General features: G+C 46.4%; 1 long non-coding RNA gene across 2 annotated transcripts, besides 1 other annotated feature; it reads right to left on the bottom strand.

Moving 5' to 3' along the window:
* Positions 1–2965: 2965 nt before the first annotated feature.
* Positions 2966–17387, bottom strand: LINC02967 (long intergenic non-protein coding RNA 2967). 2 transcript variants are annotated; one of them, XR_001754563.2, is made up of 3 exons: positions 15957–17387; positions 5177–5312; positions 2966–4604 (listed from the first exon to the last, which is right to left on the bottom strand). It is a non-coding gene; the product is annotated as a long intergenic non-protein coding RNA 2967 (long non-coding RNA). The 2 variants fall into 2 exon arrangements; XR_937399.3 differs by lacking the exon at positions 15957–17387 and adding an exon at positions 6720–6734.
* Positions 16817–17450: an enhancer, noted in NCBI's record as "H3K4me1 hESC enhancer chr20:24899137-24899770 (GRCh37/hg19 assembly coordinates)". NCBI's record gives its function as "activates a minimal SCP1, AML or CMV promoter by ChIP-STARR-seq in naive H9 embryonic stem cells {active_cell/tissue: H9 hESC(naive)}" and the evidence as "EXISTENCE:reporter gene assay evidence [ECO:0000049][PMID:30033119]".

Below are 17481 nucleotides of genomic sequence, written 5' to 3'. Positions count from 1 at the left end.
GGCTGGAAGTGAGTCACAGGTCCCACCCACACTGAAGGGGAGGGACAGCACAGGGCTGGGACCATGGAGCCACCACAGAGCCTGTTGCCACACTTACTAAAGTTTACTACAAACCCTCGCTAACTCTGCACTGAAGAGGCCACAAAAAGTGACCAACCAGGTGGCAGTGAGCACCCCAAAAGTGGTTTCTCACTAAGGACTAAGGCTGTTGGAGAAATGGCTGATTCCAGGCCAGGGCAGGAAATGTACAAGATAAGCCAGAAACATCTCCCCTTCCAGAGAGCAGGGAAACCCTCAAAGCCTGTCAGGGCCATGTCAAAGGCATGGGAGCCAAGCTGAAGAGGCTCCCACCAGCCCAGGGAAGGGACAAGTTAGCATCAATAAGAATAATAACTACAGGGGATTAAAATACACAGATATTTAAAAAGCATCGAGATCCATATGATACTGATAATGATGACAATGAGAATCATTATAATCCCTCTGCAACCTCCAAGGGCTGTGGGGCCAGTGGGGCCCCTTCTCCCAGGCACTGATCCCTATGCCACATGCCCAGCCATGGTGGTGTCCTTCTGGCCTTCAGAAAGTTCAGGAAGGAGAAGTGGTGCCCAGCCCTTCTCTGCACTGGGAACCCTGCCACCCTCCTTGACCCATGGAATGACATGTTCCTGGGAGGCCTCAGGGGTCTCCTGGGTGCCGGCTGTGGGATGCAGGGGGCTCGCTGGACTTCCCCATACTCTAGTTTCCCTGTCTGTTACAAAACAAACCCAAACAAAAGAAGGGATAAAGGAGAGGTTTGACTGTTCATCTCTTAGGCTTCGTGTGAGGTGGAGAGGAGTGATGGGGCATGGCTCAGTTTGAGCTCCCTGACAGCTAGGTGGTTTTCTGTTATCCTTATAGCAGGAATGGGGCTTCCAAACTCTCAGATGTCAGGTGTGTGTACCCATACGTTCTCTTGCACAAAAACACATGAGGAATGTGGAGGTAAAGAAAACCAAGCAGTCTCTTGATGCAGGACTTCTCAGAGCCTTTAGAAGCATGTATAGTGTGCAGATGCTCATATTCACTTACAAAGGCAGATGGAACTGCCTCTGCTCAGAGCATCTCTGGTGCCATCTGGGGCTTGGGTTTGAGGGCCTTTGCATGGGACAGGTGGGGAGCCACAGAAATGAAGAACAGGGCAATGCCTAGAACTCTGAAGGGAGTTGCGGATCTGTCCTGCAGCTGCCCACCGTGGGGTTTTGAGGGTGCATGGGAAGGAAGGCCTGATGTGACACAGCATTCCTGGGCCTAGTCAAGACAGGATTCCTGTCAGGGCGGGTCCCATGCTGTTGACCCTGGCTGGGGGTGCTAGAGGCTGAGGGCAGTCAGGCCTGTTGGGTGGGCATGGGCCTGGTTGTCGGGGACCCTGAGTTTGGCCCCAGCTCAGCTGCCTCTGTGACTGCAGGTGGCACACAGGCCTTCTGAACCTCGGACTCTGCCCTGCACGAAGGGCCCCAGCCAGGTTCTGTGGGGCTGTGGGGAGTGCCGCACCTGTGAAGCCAGCCTTGGCCTCCATCTCATCTGAAGACATATGGGGGTGAAATGGCCAATGCTGGAAGCCCTGTGAGGGTAAATGAGACAGTGCCCTGGGGCACTTAGAGCAGTCCCCACACAGCACTCAAAAAGCAGCAGCTGTTATAGTCTTGATTGTGAAAAGCCATGTTTCCTGAAAGACATGTCAAAGCAGCCGGCTGTGTGGCCCTGCACCTGCGTTCCCAGGGTCGACTCACCTATACTGACACCCAGAGCCACCCCAAGAGCTGCAGCTGGAGGCAGCAAACGTGGAGGTGGCTGAGTGGATGGAGATCCTCAGAGTAGTTGACATGTACTGATGGCCTCCTGTGTGCGTTCTCACATTGGTTCCATTCATTTCATCATGACCCTTTCAGGTGCATGTGAGTGTCCCCACTTTACACATGAGAAAACTGAGGTTCAGGGCAGTGAGGCTCATTTACTCCCTGCCCTTTCTGACAGCTCAGGCCATGGTCTGACCATCTGCATAGCTGTCTGCTTGCAAATGCATCCATCTGGTGACTTGAGAACATTCTGGAACTGCAAGCCTAGGGCACCGCTGGAGGCTACCCCTTTTCTGAAGGGAAGGCCTGCAGGTCTGACCTGTGACTCCCTGAGTGTCTGTTGTTTCTGCAGAGGCAAGGATGAGTGTGGGGGCCAGAACACGGCTTGGTGGGTTGTGAGTTGGGGTCCTTGCGAGCGGTCATCTGAAGCAAGTGTGCTCAGTTCTGGGAAGGGGACCCTCTGTCCTTGCAGCTGGTGCTGACATCAGCATGGACCTCAGCATGCAGTCCTCACCACACCCAGCTGCAGGGCTGCAGGGACAGCAGGGTGTGGCCATCAGAGCCCCCACTGGGAGGGAGGTCGTGGTTGACCCAGAGTGCTGGGACTGGGCTCCCAGGAGAGGCTGGGAGGGCCGGGCTCCTGCAGGGAGGCATTTGTGCCATGTGGGTGTGGGTTGATGGAATCATGCAGTGCTCATGGTGGGGCTGTCCTGTCCCAGTGGCCCTGCCGTGCCACCCTGTGAGAAGGGCAGGGACCTGAGTTGACTTGTGGCCTCCAAAACTACAGCCTCCACCAAGGGCACCAGGGGGCCACAGGGTAACATAATATCATTAATTACAATGCTAGAAATAATAATGATGAGAGGAAGGTGTTTATAGTACTACGAGGCACCAGGCACCTCCTTAACACTGTATGACTTTCTTCCCTTTTCTCTTTAACAAAATTTATTTTAATTGACAAATACATATTGAACACATATGGTGTATAGCATGAAGTTTTGCAAGTATGTCTGTCTGCACTGTGGAATGGCTAAATCAAGCCAATGAACATCTACACTACCATACATCCTTATTGATGAAGAGAATGTAGCAGGATGAGCTGCAGACAAAACTCTTGAGACACTGGATTAAAGAAGGAAGAGGTTTTTATTTGGCCGGTAGCATTGGCAGACTCATGTCTTAAGAGCCAAGCTCCCCCAAAAAGAAATTCCTAGCCCTTTTAAGGGCTTACAACTCTAAGGGGTCCACGTGAAAGGGTCATGATAGATCAAGTAAGCATGAGGAATGTGACTGGAGGCTACATATATCAGCTAACAGAACAAAAAGTTTTACAGTGCTTTCTCATACAATGTCTGGAATTTACAGATAGTACCAGTAGTTTTTATCGGTAATAAGAAAAAGGATGGCTTAATAGTGCCAATAACACAACTGTCTGCCCATTCATTAGGTAACTGAATGTAGGCTCTCTGCCCACATATCCAGTATAGTCCAGCGAGAGCCATCCAGTCCTGATGAGATCCTGGACAAGCCCCCATTATATCAGGAGCTGGATCAGTGGGCACCAACTCTCAGGCTTCCCAAGGCCATCGGTCTCTGATAGTGGTTCCCCCGCATATATAACAAGAAGTAACATTAAGGGAATGAGCTACATTTTCTGCTAATTGGAGAAACAAATTTTTTATCTTTTTCAGAAGTTCTGGTGCTGGCAGATTTAACTCCTCATAAAAGGTTTGAAACACTGGTTTGGGAGAGTGCTTGTGGACCTCCCCTTGAACTAAAATGGCAACTTGGGGGTTTAACCCTGTCCCTTTGATCCCCAGGGTTACACATTCTCCCTTTTTCCAATGGGGATCTAGGGGATTGGTAATTATTAGTTCTAGTGGGTTACAGTGACTGGCAGCACAGGAGGGGTTGGCTTCCCCTTTCTGAAGATGAACCAAGTCCTTTTTGTTCTTTTTCCAAGTAGCCTAAATAACACATGGCCAAAAGGCACAATTTTCACAAACCCCTGACTCATGACAAACATATTTATTTTCTACTCTGTAGCTCCTTTCCCAGTTAAGAGAACCACATCCTGTTCCTAGCTTGTTACTATTAATGGCTGCACAAGCGTCAAATCTTAAAGTTACTTGTTTGGGGATTCCTTTTTCTTCTGTTCTAGTTATTATTTCACTTGTATCACCTAGGAAAAGGCCAGTTCTTAATCTTATTTCAAAACTGGTGGTTGTAGGGGGCTCAGATGGGTTATAACACACATCAGGTCAGTCATTTCCTGGGCTACATACCTTGTACTGAGTGGCATTATACAAACAAGTCTCTTTTAACGTTCCCATACATTGATAATAACTATAGAACAGAAAGATTGTTTTCATTTGCTGTCCTACCTCACTGACCTGATGAATACACTGGGAATAGTCCCCAGTTTGAGTAAGAACAGTTGAAGCCCTTACTGTAAGTCCAAAATTTAAGAAAAATGAAGCCCACAATGAGCTTCCTCATGCTTCGGCTGTGCGTGGACCAGTCAGCTTCTGGGTGTGACTGGAGCAGGGCTTGTCATCTTCTTCAGGGTCACTCTGCAGGGGTTGTCCAGACTTGGTCTTGCCTCCCAGGATTCAGGCGCTGCAGGTTTTACACGGTTGTGATGGATCCAGGCTAGGATTCTCTCTACGTTCACAGCAGTGGGAGTGATCAGGACGACAGTCTGGGGTCCTTTCCACCATGGGCACAAAGAGGCTACGTTCCAGTCCTTGATCCACACTCGAACACCTGGGGAGAAAAGGTGAACTGGGGAGAATAAGCTAACAGGGTCTCTCATTTACCCAGGCTGAGATTGTTTGTGTAATTTTTCCTAAAGCCTGTAGCTGTCGCTGTAACTCAATTTCACCTAACTCTCAGGAAGTGCCTGGAAGTCCCTGCAATATGGGAAGGGTCCCATGATATAATATTTCCTAAGGGGAATATCCTGTTCTTTTAGAAGGGGTACATCTAATTTTAAATAATACTATAGAGAGCATGTATCCATTTTAATCCTGTTTCCTGACATACTTTCCCTAAACTATTTTTGATAGTCTGATTCATCTGCTCTGCCTTTCTGGAACTCTGAGGCCGGTAGGCGGCATGCAGTTTCCAAATGATCCCCAATACCTTTGCTATCTTCTGTACCAAGTCAGCCACAAACGTTAGCCCATTATCTGAGCTGATCCGTAAGGGCAGTCCAAATCTAGGAATAAGATCTCGAAGAAGCACACAGGTTACTTCACGAGCTTTCTCAGTTAGTGTTGGATAAGCCTCCACCCACCCACAGTAGGTACACAAAAGAACTAGTAAATACTTGTTACCTCCACACTTTGGCATCTCTGTGAAGTCCACCTGGAGATCTTCAAAGGAGGCTGCTCTATAAGCTTGTATGCCGGGGGGGAACAGCTAGACCTTGCCTCACATTATGCTGTCGGCAGGTAACACACTGCTGCGTCACTGTTTTGGCAAGGGTTGACAAATATGAGATGTAGAAATACCGGCCTAACAACTTTTCAAGTGACTCCTGACCTAGATGGGTGGTTTCATGCAAAACCAGTACAATTGCGGCTCCTAGCAGCTGTGGCAGAGCTATTCTCCCGAATAAGTAGCTACAAGATCAAGTGCTTGAGGGAGCAGGGGGTCTGTGACTGATGCCTGGAAGGGGGCAGATGCTGCTTTTCGAGCCTCTGAGTCAGCGCAGGAATTCCCCAAACCCACCAAGATGGAAGCTCGCTGGTGTCCTCTGCAATGCATAACTGCCACCTTGTGGGGTTTCCATGCTGCTTCTAATAATTGCAAAATTTCTTGTTGATATTTTATGTCCTTTCCCCCAGAGTTCAATAGGCCCTTTTCTTTATATAACGCTCCATGCACTTGAAGGGTTAAAAAGGCATACCGAGAGTCAGTGTAAATGTTTACAGTCTTACCTTCACTGAGTTCTAGGGCCCAAATTAAAGCAATGAGTTCAGCTCTCTAGGCTGAAGTGCCCTGGGGCAATGATCTGTCTTCAATAACAGTGTCCAGGGTTACCATAGCATACCCTGCACATCTCTCTCCTTGTGGGTTGATGAAGCTGCTCCCATCCACGTATAGTTCCCAGTCTACTGATGCCCAAGGCCGGTCTCAGAGGTCAGATCTGCTAGAGTAGACTGAGTCCAACACTTCTACACAGTCATGCTTGACAGGGCTCTCTGATACTGGGATCAAGGTAGCAGGGTTCAGGGTGTTACAAACTTTAATGGTTATACAGGGATTTTCACAGAGCAAACTTTGGTACTTGGTGAGTCTAACATTCGTTAGCCAATGATGTCCTTTAGTATTCATTAATGTCACCACAGCATGGGGAGCCTTTATGTTCAGGTTTTGCCCAAGAGTCAGCTTATCTGCTTCTTGTACTAGCAGGGCAGTTGCTGCCAAGGCCCTCAAACATGGGGGCCATTCTTTAGAAACCCCATGTAGTTGTTTAGAGAGGTAGGCCACCGGCCTCGGCCAGGGCCCCACAGTTTGGGTTAAAACTCCAACTGCCATCTTTTCTCTCTCTGACACATACAATGTAAAAGGCTTTGTCAGATCGGGTAGCCCCAGGGCTGGGGCTGACATAAGTTTTTCCTTTAACTTATGAAAGGCTTGTTGTTGTCGGGATTCCCATTCAAAAAGTTCCTGTTCCCCCCACTTTGTGACCTCATACAAAGGCTTGGCTAATACTGCAAAGTTTGGGATCCACAGTCTGCAAAACCCCACAGCTCCTAAGAATTCTCTCACCTGCCTTCTGGTCTTAGGCTCTGGTAGATTGCAAATGACCTGCTTTCTTTCTGATCCCAGGCTGCGCTCCCCCTGTCAGATAGTAAATCCCAAGTAACGTACCTGCTGTCGGCAGATCTGAGCTTTTTTCTTGGACACTTTATACCCACAGTCCTCCAGGTGCCAGAGTAGGGCATCTGTTCCCTTGGCCCACCCGACTGCCGTGGGGTGTCCCAGCAGAAAGTCATCAATGTACTGGAGCAACATGCAGCCTAGGTCTCTGGTGGGAAACTTCTGGAGGTCTCCTCCCCCAAGATGGTGGGGGAGTTCTTGAACCCTCGGGGAAGCTGGGTCCAAGTGTACTGAGTAGTAACACCTGACTCTGGATCTTCCCACTGAAAGGCAAACAGTTTCTGGCTCTCAGGGGCTAATCTGATGCTAAAGAAAGGTCCAAGCAGGTGAGCCAGCTGTCCTCAGCTGGCAGCAACCCCAACAATGTGTACGGGTTAGGTACTGTTAGATGTAAAGTCACTGTAGCTTGATTAACCAAGTGCAAATCCTGTACCGGCCTTTAGTCCTTGGTCCCAGGCTTGGGAACAGGCAGGAGGGGAGTGTTCCATGGAGATTGACAAGGAGCCATAATTCCAAAGGTTCTTAGGCGCTTGATGGACCTGGATACCTTCAAGAGCTTCTCTGGGGACCGGGTACTGTTTTTGCCTAACTGGCTGGGCCCCAGGCTTAACTTCTATAAGTACGGGGGCTTGGTTGACTGCCAACCCTGGAGGGTTGTCTTCTGCCCACACTCTTGGCCACCACTTGGCCTGGCTCATTAAGAAAAGTCTCCATTCCTCCTCTCGGGGGACCGTAAGGGTCATAATAACTCCCGTTCTGGGTAACTTTAGCAGCAAAGAGCCATGCTCTGTAAAAGAGACAGTGGCTCTCAGCTTGCTAAGCAAGTCCCTTCCCAACAAGGGCAAGGGACAGTCAGGCATGTACAAAAACTGATGAATCACTTTATGTCCTCCTGCAGTACAAGTCCGGGGCAAGCAGAAAGCTTGCTTTGCTGAAACCCCCATGGCTCCAATTATGTTGAGTCTTTTTGGATAAGGGGGCGACCGGGGTGGTTACTACAGAATGTTCAGCACCGGTATCTAAAAGAAAATCAATGTCTTTACCCCCAACTTTCATCCTGACCACAGGCTTTTTGGGGGCCCTTGAGCCCAGTCCCCCTCATTCCAGTAACCCTTCTGCCAGGTTGAGCAGGGCCCCATCCTCCTTGTCTGGGGCCTGCTGCTCTGAGTCACCTTGTTTTCCTTTTAGCTGAGGGCATTTGTTCTTCCAATGTCCTATTTCTTTACAATAAGCACACTGGTTACACTGCAAGCTCTGATAGCCAGGCTGAGTTTCTTTTTTTTTTTTTTAATTACTGAAAATAACTTTTTATTTTATTTTATTATTATTATACTTTAAGTTTTAGGGTACATGTGCACAATGTGCAGGTTTGTTACATATGTATACATGTGGCATGTTGGTGTGCTGCACCCATTAACTCATCATTTAGCATTAGGCATATCTCCTAATACTATCCCTCCCCCCTCCCCCCACCCCACAACAGTCCCCGGAGTGTGATGTTCCCCTTCCTGTGTCCATGTGTTCTCATTGTTCAATTCCCACCTATGAGTGAGAACATGAGATGTTTGTTTTTTTTGTCCTTGTGATAGTTTGCTGAGAATGATGGTTTCCAGTTTCATCCATGTCCCTACAAAGGACATGAGCTCATCATTTTTTATGGCTGCATAGTATTCCATGGTGTATATGTGCCACATTTTCTTAATCCAGTCTATCATTGTTGGACATTTGGGTTGGTTCCAAGTCTTTGCTATTGTGAATAGTGCCGCAATAAACATACGTGTGCATGTGTCTTTATAGCAGCATGATTTATAATCCTTTGGGTATATACCTAGTAATGGCATGGCTGGGTCAAATGGTATTTCTAGTTCTAGATCCCTGAGGAATCGCCACACTGATATCCACAATGGTTGAACTAGTTTACAGTCCCACCAACAGTGTAAAAGTGTTCCTATTTCTCCACATCCTCTCCAGCACCTATTGTTTCCTGACTTTTTAATGATTGCCATTCTAACTGGTGTGAGATGGTATCTCATTGTGGATTTGATTTGCATTTCTCTGATGGCCAGTGATGATGAGCGTTTTTTCCACGTGTTTTTTGGCTGCATAAATGTCTTCTTTTGAGAAGTGTCTGTTCATATCCTTTGCCCACTTTTTGATGGGGTTGTTTGTTTTTTTCCTGTAAATTTGTTTGAGTTCATTGTAGATTCTGGATATTAGCCCTTTGTCAGATGAGTAGGTTGTGAAAATTTTCTCCCATTTTGTAGGTTGCCTTTTCACTCTGATGGTAGTTTCTTTTGCTGTCCAGAAGCTCTTTAGTTTAATTACATCCCATTTGTCAATTTTGGCTTCTGTTGCCATGGCTTTTGGTGTTTTAGACATGAAGTCCTTGCCCATGCCTATGTCCTGAATGGTATTGCCCAGGTTTTCTTCTAGGGTTTTTATGGTTTTTGGTCTAAAATTTAAGTCTTTAATCCATCTTGAATTAATTTTTGTATAAGATGTAAGGAAGGGATCCAGTTTCAGCCTTCTACATATGGCTAGCCAGTTTTCCCAGCACCATTTATTAAATAGGGAATCGTTTCCCCATTGCTTGTTTTTCTCAGGTTTGTCAAAGATCAGATGGTTGTAGATATGCGGCATTATTTCTGAGGGCTCCGTTCTGTTCCATTGATCTATATCTCTGTTTTGGTACCAGTACCATGCTGTTTTGGTTACTGTAGCCTCGTAGTATAGTTTGAAGTCAGGTAGCGTGATGCCTCCAGCTTTGTTCTTTTGGCTTAGGATTGACTTGGTGATGTGGGCTCTTTTCTGGTTCAATATGAACTCTAAAGTAATTTTTTCCAATTCTGTGAAGAAAGTCATTGCTAGCTTCATGGGGATGGCATTGAATCTATAAATTTCCTTGGGCAGTATGGCCATTTTCACGATATTCATTCTTCCTACCCATGAGCATGGAATGTTCTTCCATTTGTTTGTATCCTCTTTTATTTCCTTGAGGAGTGGTTTGTAGTTCTCCTTGAAGAGGTCCTTCACATCTCTTGTAAGTTGGATTCCTAGGTATTTTATTCTCTTTGAAGCAATTGTGAATGGGAGTTCACTCATGATTTGGCTCTCTTTTTGTCTGTTATTGGTGTATAAGAATGTTTGTGATTTTTGCACATTGATTTTGTATCCTGAGACTTTGCTGAAGTTGCTTATCAGCTTAAGGAGATTTTGGTCTGAGACAATGGGGTTTTCTAGATATACAGTCACGTCATCTGCAAACAGGGACAATTTGACTTCCTCTTTTCCTAATTGAATACCCTTTATTTCCCTCTCCTGCTTAATTGCCCTGGCCAGAACTTCCAACACTATGTTGAATAGGAGTGGTGAGAGAGGGCATCCCTCTCTTGTGCCAGTTTTCAAAGGGAATGCTTCCAGTTTTTGCCCATTCAGTATGATATTGGCTGTGGGTTTGTCATAGATAGCTCTTATTATTTTGAGATATGTCCCATCAATACCTAATGTATTGAGAGTTTTTAGCATGAAGGTTGTTGAATTTTGTCAAAGGCCTTTTCTGCATCTGTTGAGATAATCATGTGGTTTTTATCTTTGGTTCTGTTTATATGCTGGATTACATTTATTGATTTGCATATGTTGAACCAGACTTGCATCCCAGGGATGAAGCCCACTTGATCATGGTGGATAAGCTTTTTGATGTGCTGCTGGATTCTGTTTGCCAGTATTTTATTGAGGGCTTTTGCATCAATGTTCATCAAGGATATTGGTCTAAAATTCTCTTTTTTGGTTGTGTCTCTGCCAGGCTTTGGTATCAGGATGATGTTGGCCTCATAAAATGAGTTAGGGAGGATTCCCTCTTTTTCTATTGATTGGAATATTTTCAGGGGGAATGGTACCAGCTCCTCCTTGTACCTCTGGTAGAATTTGGCTGTGAATCCATCTGGTCCTGGACTGTTTTTGGTTGGTAAGCTATTGATTATTGCCACAATTTCAGAGCCTGTTATTGGTCTATTCAGAGATTCAACTTCCTCCTGGTTTAGTCTTGGGAGGGTGTAAGTGTCAAGGAATTTATCCATTTCTTCTACATTTTCTAGTTTATTTGCATAGAGGTGTTTGTAGTGTTCTCTGATGGTAGTTTGTATTTCTGTGGGATCAGTGGTGATATCCCCTTTATCACTTTTTATTGCGTCTATTTGATTCTTCTCTTTTCTTCTTTTTTTTCTTCTTCTTCTTCTCTCTTTTCTTCTTTATTAGTCTTGCTAGCGGTCAATCAATTTTGTTGATCTTTTCAAAAAACCAACTCCTGGATTCATTAATTTTTTGAAGGGTTTTTTGTGTCTCTATTTCTTTCAGTTCTGCTCTGATTTTAGTTATTTCTTGCCTTCTGCTAGCTTTTGAATGTGTTTGCTCTTGCTTTGCTAGTTCTTTTAATTGTGATGTAAGGGTGTCAATTTTGGATCTTTCCTGCTTTCTCTTGTGGGCATTTAGTGCTATAAATTTCCCTCTACACACTGCTTTGAATGTGTCCCAGAGATTCTGGTATGTTGTGTCTTTGTTCTCGTTGGTTTCAAAGAACATCTTTATTTCTGCCTTCATTTTGTTATGTACCCAGTAGTCATTCAGGAGCAGGTTGTTCAGTTTCCATGTAGTTGAGCAGTTTTGAGTGAGTTTCTTAATCCTGAGTTCTAGCTTGATTGCACTGTGGTCTGAGAGACAGTTTGTTATAATTTCTGTTCTTTTACATTTGCTGAGGAGTGCTTTACTTCCAAGTATGTGGTCAATTTTGGAATAGGTGTGGTGTGGTGCTGAAAAAAATGTATATTCTGTTGATTTGGGGTGGAGAGTTCTGTAGATGTCTATTAGGTCTGCTTGGTGCAGAGCTGAGTTCAATTCCTGGGTATCCTTGTTAACTTTCTGTCTTGTTGATCTGTCTAATGTTGACAATGGGGTGTTAAAGTCTCCCATTATTATTGTGTGGGAGTCTAAGTCTCTTTGTAGGTCACTTAGAACTTGCTTTATGAATCTGGGTGCTCCTGTATTGAGTGCATATATATTTAGGATAGTTAGCTCTTCTTGTTGAATTGATCCCTTTACCATTATGTAATGGCCTCCTTTGTCTCTTTTGATCTTTGTTGGTTTAAAGTCTGTTTTATCAGAGACTAGGATTGCAACCCCTGCCTTTTTTTGTTTTCCATTTACTTGGTAGATCTTCTTCCATCCCTTTATTTTGAGCCTATGTGTGTCTCTGCACATGAGATGGGTTTCCTGAATACAGCACACTGATGGGTCTTGACTCTTTATCCAATTTGCCAGTCTGTGTCTTTTAATTGGAACATTTAGCCCATTTACATTTAAAGTTAGTATTGTTATGTGTGAATTTGATCCTGTCATTATGATGTTAGCTGGTTATTTTGCTTGTTAGTTGATGCGGTTTCTTCCTAGCCTTGATGGTCTTTATATTTTGGCATGTTTTTGCAGTGGCTGGTACCGGTTGTTCCTTTCCATGTTTAGTGCTTCCTTCAGGAGCTCTTTTAGGGCAGGCCTGGTGGTGACAAAATCTCTCAACATTTGCTTTTCTGTAAAGGATTTTATTTCTCCTTCACTTACGAAGCTTAGTTTGGCTGGATATAAAATTCTGGGTTAAAAATTCTTTTCCTTAAGAACGTTGAATATTGGCCCCCACTCTCTTCTGGCTTGTAGAGTTTCTGCCAAGAGATCCACTGTTAGTCTCATGGGCTTCCCTTTTTGGGTAACCCGACCTTTCTCTCTGGCTGCCCTTAACATTTTTTCCTTCATTTCAACTTTGGTGAATCTGACAATTATGTGTCTTGGAGTTGCTCTTCTTGAGGAGTATCTTTGTGGCATTCTCTGTATTTCCTGAATCTGAATGTTGGCCTGCCTTGCTAGACTGGGGAAGTTCTCCTGGATAATATCCTGGAGAGTGTTTTCCAACTTGTTTTCATTCTCCCCGTCACTTTCAGGTACAGCAATCAGACGTAGATTTGGTCTTTTCACATAGTCCCATATTTCTTGGAGGTGTTGTTTGTTTCTTTTTATTCTTTTTTCTCTAAACTTTCCTTCTCACTTCATTTCATTCATTTCATCTTCCATCACTGATACCCTTTCTTCCAGTTGATTCCATCAGCTCCTGAGGCTTCTGCATTCTTCATGTAGTTCTCGAGCCTTTGCTTTCAGCTCCATCAGCTCCTTTAAGGACTTCTCTGCATTGGTTATTCTAGATATCCATTCGTCTATTTTTTTTCAAAGTTTTTAACTTCTTTGCCATTGGTTTGAATTTCCTCCTGTAGGTCAGAGTAGTTTGATCGTCTGAAGCCTTCTTCTCTCATCTCGTCAAAGTCATTCTCCATCCAGCTTTGTTCCATTGCTGGTGAGGAGCTGTGTTCCTTTGGAGGAGGAGAGGCGCTCTGCTTTTTAGAGTTTCCAGTTTTTCTGCTCTGTTTTTTCCCCATCTTTGTGGTTTTATCTACTTTTGTCTTTGATGATGGTGATGTACAGATGGGTTTTTGGTGTGGATGTCCTTTCTGTTTGTTAGTTTTCCTTCTAACAGACAGGACCCTCAGCTGCAGGTCTGCTAGAGTTTGCTAGAGTTCCACTCCAGACCCTGTTTGCCTGGGTATCAGCAGCGGTGGCTGCAGAACAGTGGTGGCTGTAGAACAGCGGATATTGGTGAACTGCAAATGCTGCTGCCTGATCGTTCCTCTGGAAGTTTTGTCTCAGAGGAGTACCCGGCCGTGTGAGGTGTCAGTCTGCCCCTACTGGGGGGTGCTTCCCAGTTAGGCTGCTTGGGGGTCGGGGGTCAGGGACCCACTTGAGGAGGCAGTCTGCCCGTTCTCATATCTCCAGCTTCATGCTGGGAGAACCACTGCTCTCTTCAAAGCTGTCAGACAGGGACATTTAAGTCTGCAGAGATTACTGCTGTCTTTTTGTATGTCTGTGCCCTGCCCCCCAGAGGTGGAGCCTACAGAGGCAGGAAGGCCTCCTTGAGCTGTGTTGGGCTCCACCCAGTTCGAGCTTCCCAGCTGCTTTGTTTACCTAATCAAGCCTGGGCAATGGCAAGCGCCCCTCCCCCAGCCTTGCTACCACCTTGCAGTTTGATCTCAGACTGCTGTGCTAGCAATCAGTGAGACTCCGCAGGCATAGGACCCTCCGAGCCATGTGCGGGATATAATCTCCTGGTGTGCCATTTTTTTAAGCCTGTTGGAAAAGTGCAGTATTAGGGTGGGAGTGACCCGATTTTCCAGGTGCCGTCTGTCACCCCTTTCTCTGACTAGGAAAGGGAACTCCCTGACCCCTTGCACTTCCCGAGTGAGGCAGTGCCTCACCTTGCTTTGGCTCTCGCAGAGTGTGCTGCACCCACTGTCCTGCTCCCACTGTCTGGCACTCCCTAGTGAGATGAACCCGGTACCTCAGATGGAAATGCAGAAATCACCCATCTTCTGCATCGCTCACGCTGGGAGCTGTAGACTGGAGCTGTTTCTCAAGGCTGAGTTTCTTTCCCAGGGCTCCCCTTCCCTTGCCTCTTTGGGGGTACCCCTCTGATTGCTGCAGCTAACAAACAGGTCGGTGTTTCGCCGGGCCTGACGTTCATTCTCTTTGCAATTTTCCTTACAGCTTACTGCATCCCTGTTTACAAACACCTGGTTAGCTACTTCTAATAACTGTGATGTATTCATCCTTGCAAACCCATCCTGTTTCTGCAGTTTTCTTCTAATGTCTTCAGTGCTTTGACTAACTAAAGCCATGTTAATCATGCACTGATTTTCAGGGCTATCAGGATCAAAGGGAGTATGCATACGATAGGCCTCACACAATCTCTCGTAGAATTGTGCTGGACTTTCTTCTTTTCCCTGAATGACCTCAGAGACCTTGTTAACATTTGTGGCCTTCTGGGATCCCCTCTTTAATCCTTCCAAGAGAGCTTCCCTGTATCAGTTTAGCCTTTGCATATCCTCTCTTTCATTTGGGTCCCACTGGGGTTCGGTTCCTGGTAACTGGGTCCTTACATACTCTTGGGGATTTTGGTAATCAGCCAGTGCACGTTCCTCTAGCCACTTAGTTGCTGCTTGGAGCACTCTCCACCTTACATCTGTGTTAAAGAGGAACATGAGCAGCTGGTGGCAATCAGCCCAAGTGGGGTTATGGGTCTGGATAATAGTTTGGAGCAAATCAGTTAGAGCTTGTGGCTTTTCAGTATAGGACGGGGTATTGTTTTTCCAGTTGAGAAGGTCGGCAGAGGTGAAGGGCTGGTATGCAAAAACATGCCTCTCCACAACATGACCATCCTCATCTATCCCAGTATACTGCTGCTCTCTCAGGAGCATTTGTATCCCAGTTTTGGGTCTTAAATGAGCTGCCAAGGGAGGAGTTTCTCCGGAGGCTTCAACTCCTCTCTTGTTTACTCTGGGTGGCCTAAGGATATGTTTGTTTTGTGGAGGTGCAAGCACTGTGGGCTCAAGAGTGGGGAGCCTCTTTCTCTGGTAAGGGGAGGGCACCACTGGGATCACTGGTGCCATCTCCTGCAATGGATCTTCTGATGTTGGGTTGAACAGAACTTCGGGAGTTGATTTCCCTTGGCAGGTGGAGCGGGATCCTTCCTTGGCTATCTGTCCCTTTGCTACTAGCACTGCTGCTGCCTGCCCTTTTAGCCACTGTGGGGGGTCTAGCACCAGCTGTAACCAAGTGTCTATGTACGGGAACTGGTCTGAGTGTCCTGACTTACCAGTTACCATGTGCCATACCTTAGAAACAAGGGATCTGTCCAGGCTTCCTTCTGATGGCCAACCTACTTCTAATGTTGGCCAATCTATTTCACACAAAGTTCTAAGTTTCTCTGATGTCATAGTAACCCCATAGTGTCCATTAAATCCCTTCTTAAAATTTTTCAACATAGTTCCTAGTGGAGTGAGCTTACTTTGTGTCTGACCCATGTTTCCTCGAGACAAAACACCAAGCTCATACCACGCACACCACAGAACAAAGAACGGGTTAAAAGGGCACAAACACACTTTTTCAGTTTACACCAAACAGAATCAAAACCAAAATCAGAGCATCCAGAAATCCAAGCCAGGTCAAAACCAAAACCAAAGTATCAAGCAATTCAAGTCAAGTCAAAAACAAAAACCAAAATGCCAGTACAGGCACACCATGGGTGATCAGGCCACGCTTCCACTCAAATGGAGTGGGGCAAGTTCCAAAGACCAGTCTTACCAAGTTTCAGATGTCCAGACTTAAAGTGCCAGTTCCTTCCTGGTGTTCAGCCACTGCGTTGATCCTCCATGGGGGCCTGCCATACACTGCTCTGATGAGGCGTTCCACAGGGGCAAGTGCCTACCCGGGAACGCTCTCAGGATCCACGTCGCTCGAGCTGGCCGGAGTCCCCCGCAGGGATGCTCCACAGGGCAGGCCTAAGCTGCCTAAGGGGCTGACTCGACCATCCAGTAATCACCTCGCTTCCCGGTCAGGGAACCAAGAAATGTAGCAGGATGAGCCGCAGACAAAACTCCTCAGACCCGGATTAAAGAAGGAAGAGAAGGAAGAGGTTTTTATTCGGCTGGTAGCATCGGCAGACTCAAGTCTTAAGAGCTGAGCTCCCCGAAAAAGAAATTCCTAGCCCTTTTAAGGGCTTACAACTCTAAGGGGTCCACGTGAAAGGGTCATGATAGATCAAGTAAGTGTGAGGAACGTGACTAGGGGCTACATACATCAGCTAACAGAACAAAAAGTTTTGCAGTGCTTTCTCATACAATGTCTGGAATTTACAGATAACACCAGTAGTTTTGGTCAGGGGTTAATATTATTATTATTGTTTTAACCACCAGGGCCAGGTGGCGGCGCCAAGGTCGTCTAGCTATTTATCTTACTTCTGTTTCTTTCCAACTTTTTGCTTTCTCCCTTTTCTACTGTCTTATAAACTAGGGAAAAGGGGAGGTGGGGAAGCTGGGAAGGACAACAGGAGAAGTGGTGGTCTCATTCCATAAGAACACTTAAGATCCTATGTAGCAATGTTCAAGCAGGTGTACACTGTCACTAACTAGAGTCACCACGTTGTACAACAGATCTCTTGAACCAGCTGTGTCTTCATTGAATCCTATCATTTTACAGACAAGGAAACGGGCATGCAGAGAGCAAGAAGTTGCCAGAAGTTACGCAAGGCTGGGGATCAGGCCCCGGCAGCATGGTCCTGGCTCCTGGGTCCTCAAGGCTGTCCGCCTTGTGGGCAAGGACCACTCAGGCCCCTGCTGGGCCCAGGCCTGGGATTGAGTGACCCGTGAACTCTGCCTGCAGACGCCAACTTGCCAGTGGGGTGGGGGTGGCCTCTGGCTGTGGCCTGCGTGTGCCAGGAGACAGAAGGGCATCGCTGATCCAGGAGTGTGCACAAAGTGTGCAGGGCAGGAGTGAGGTGGTCTCAGGAGTCTCATGTGTGCATGAGAGAGACTTTTTCTGTGCAAAAACAATGTATGAAAGAAACACAAAACCTCCTGGGGCAGATTTCCAGAGAAAGAGAGGAGTCAGGGGGAGGTGGCGTTCACTACCTTTCTGTTCTGTTTGCACTCGACTTCTAAAAGTCAGTGGTGGTTTTCTTGCTGCTGGGCTGGAAGATCTTTTTCGGTCTGTGTTTCTCCATGAAGAATGCAATTCAATTTCTCCAGACTGTTGCGAGCCGAAGGAGAGCGTCGGCCACAGGGTGGCGCTGTGATCCCAGCCATGAGCACGGCCCGGCCTGAGCGCATTT

The sequence above is a fragment of the Homo sapiens genome, chromosome 20 (assembly GCF_000001405.40).
Source record: "Homo sapiens chromosome 20, GRCh38.p14 Primary Assembly".
Taxonomy (NCBI): Eukaryota; Metazoa; Chordata; class Mammalia; order Primates; family Hominidae; genus Homo; species Homo sapiens.
This window is presented reverse-complemented; position numbering and strand designations above follow the sequence as displayed.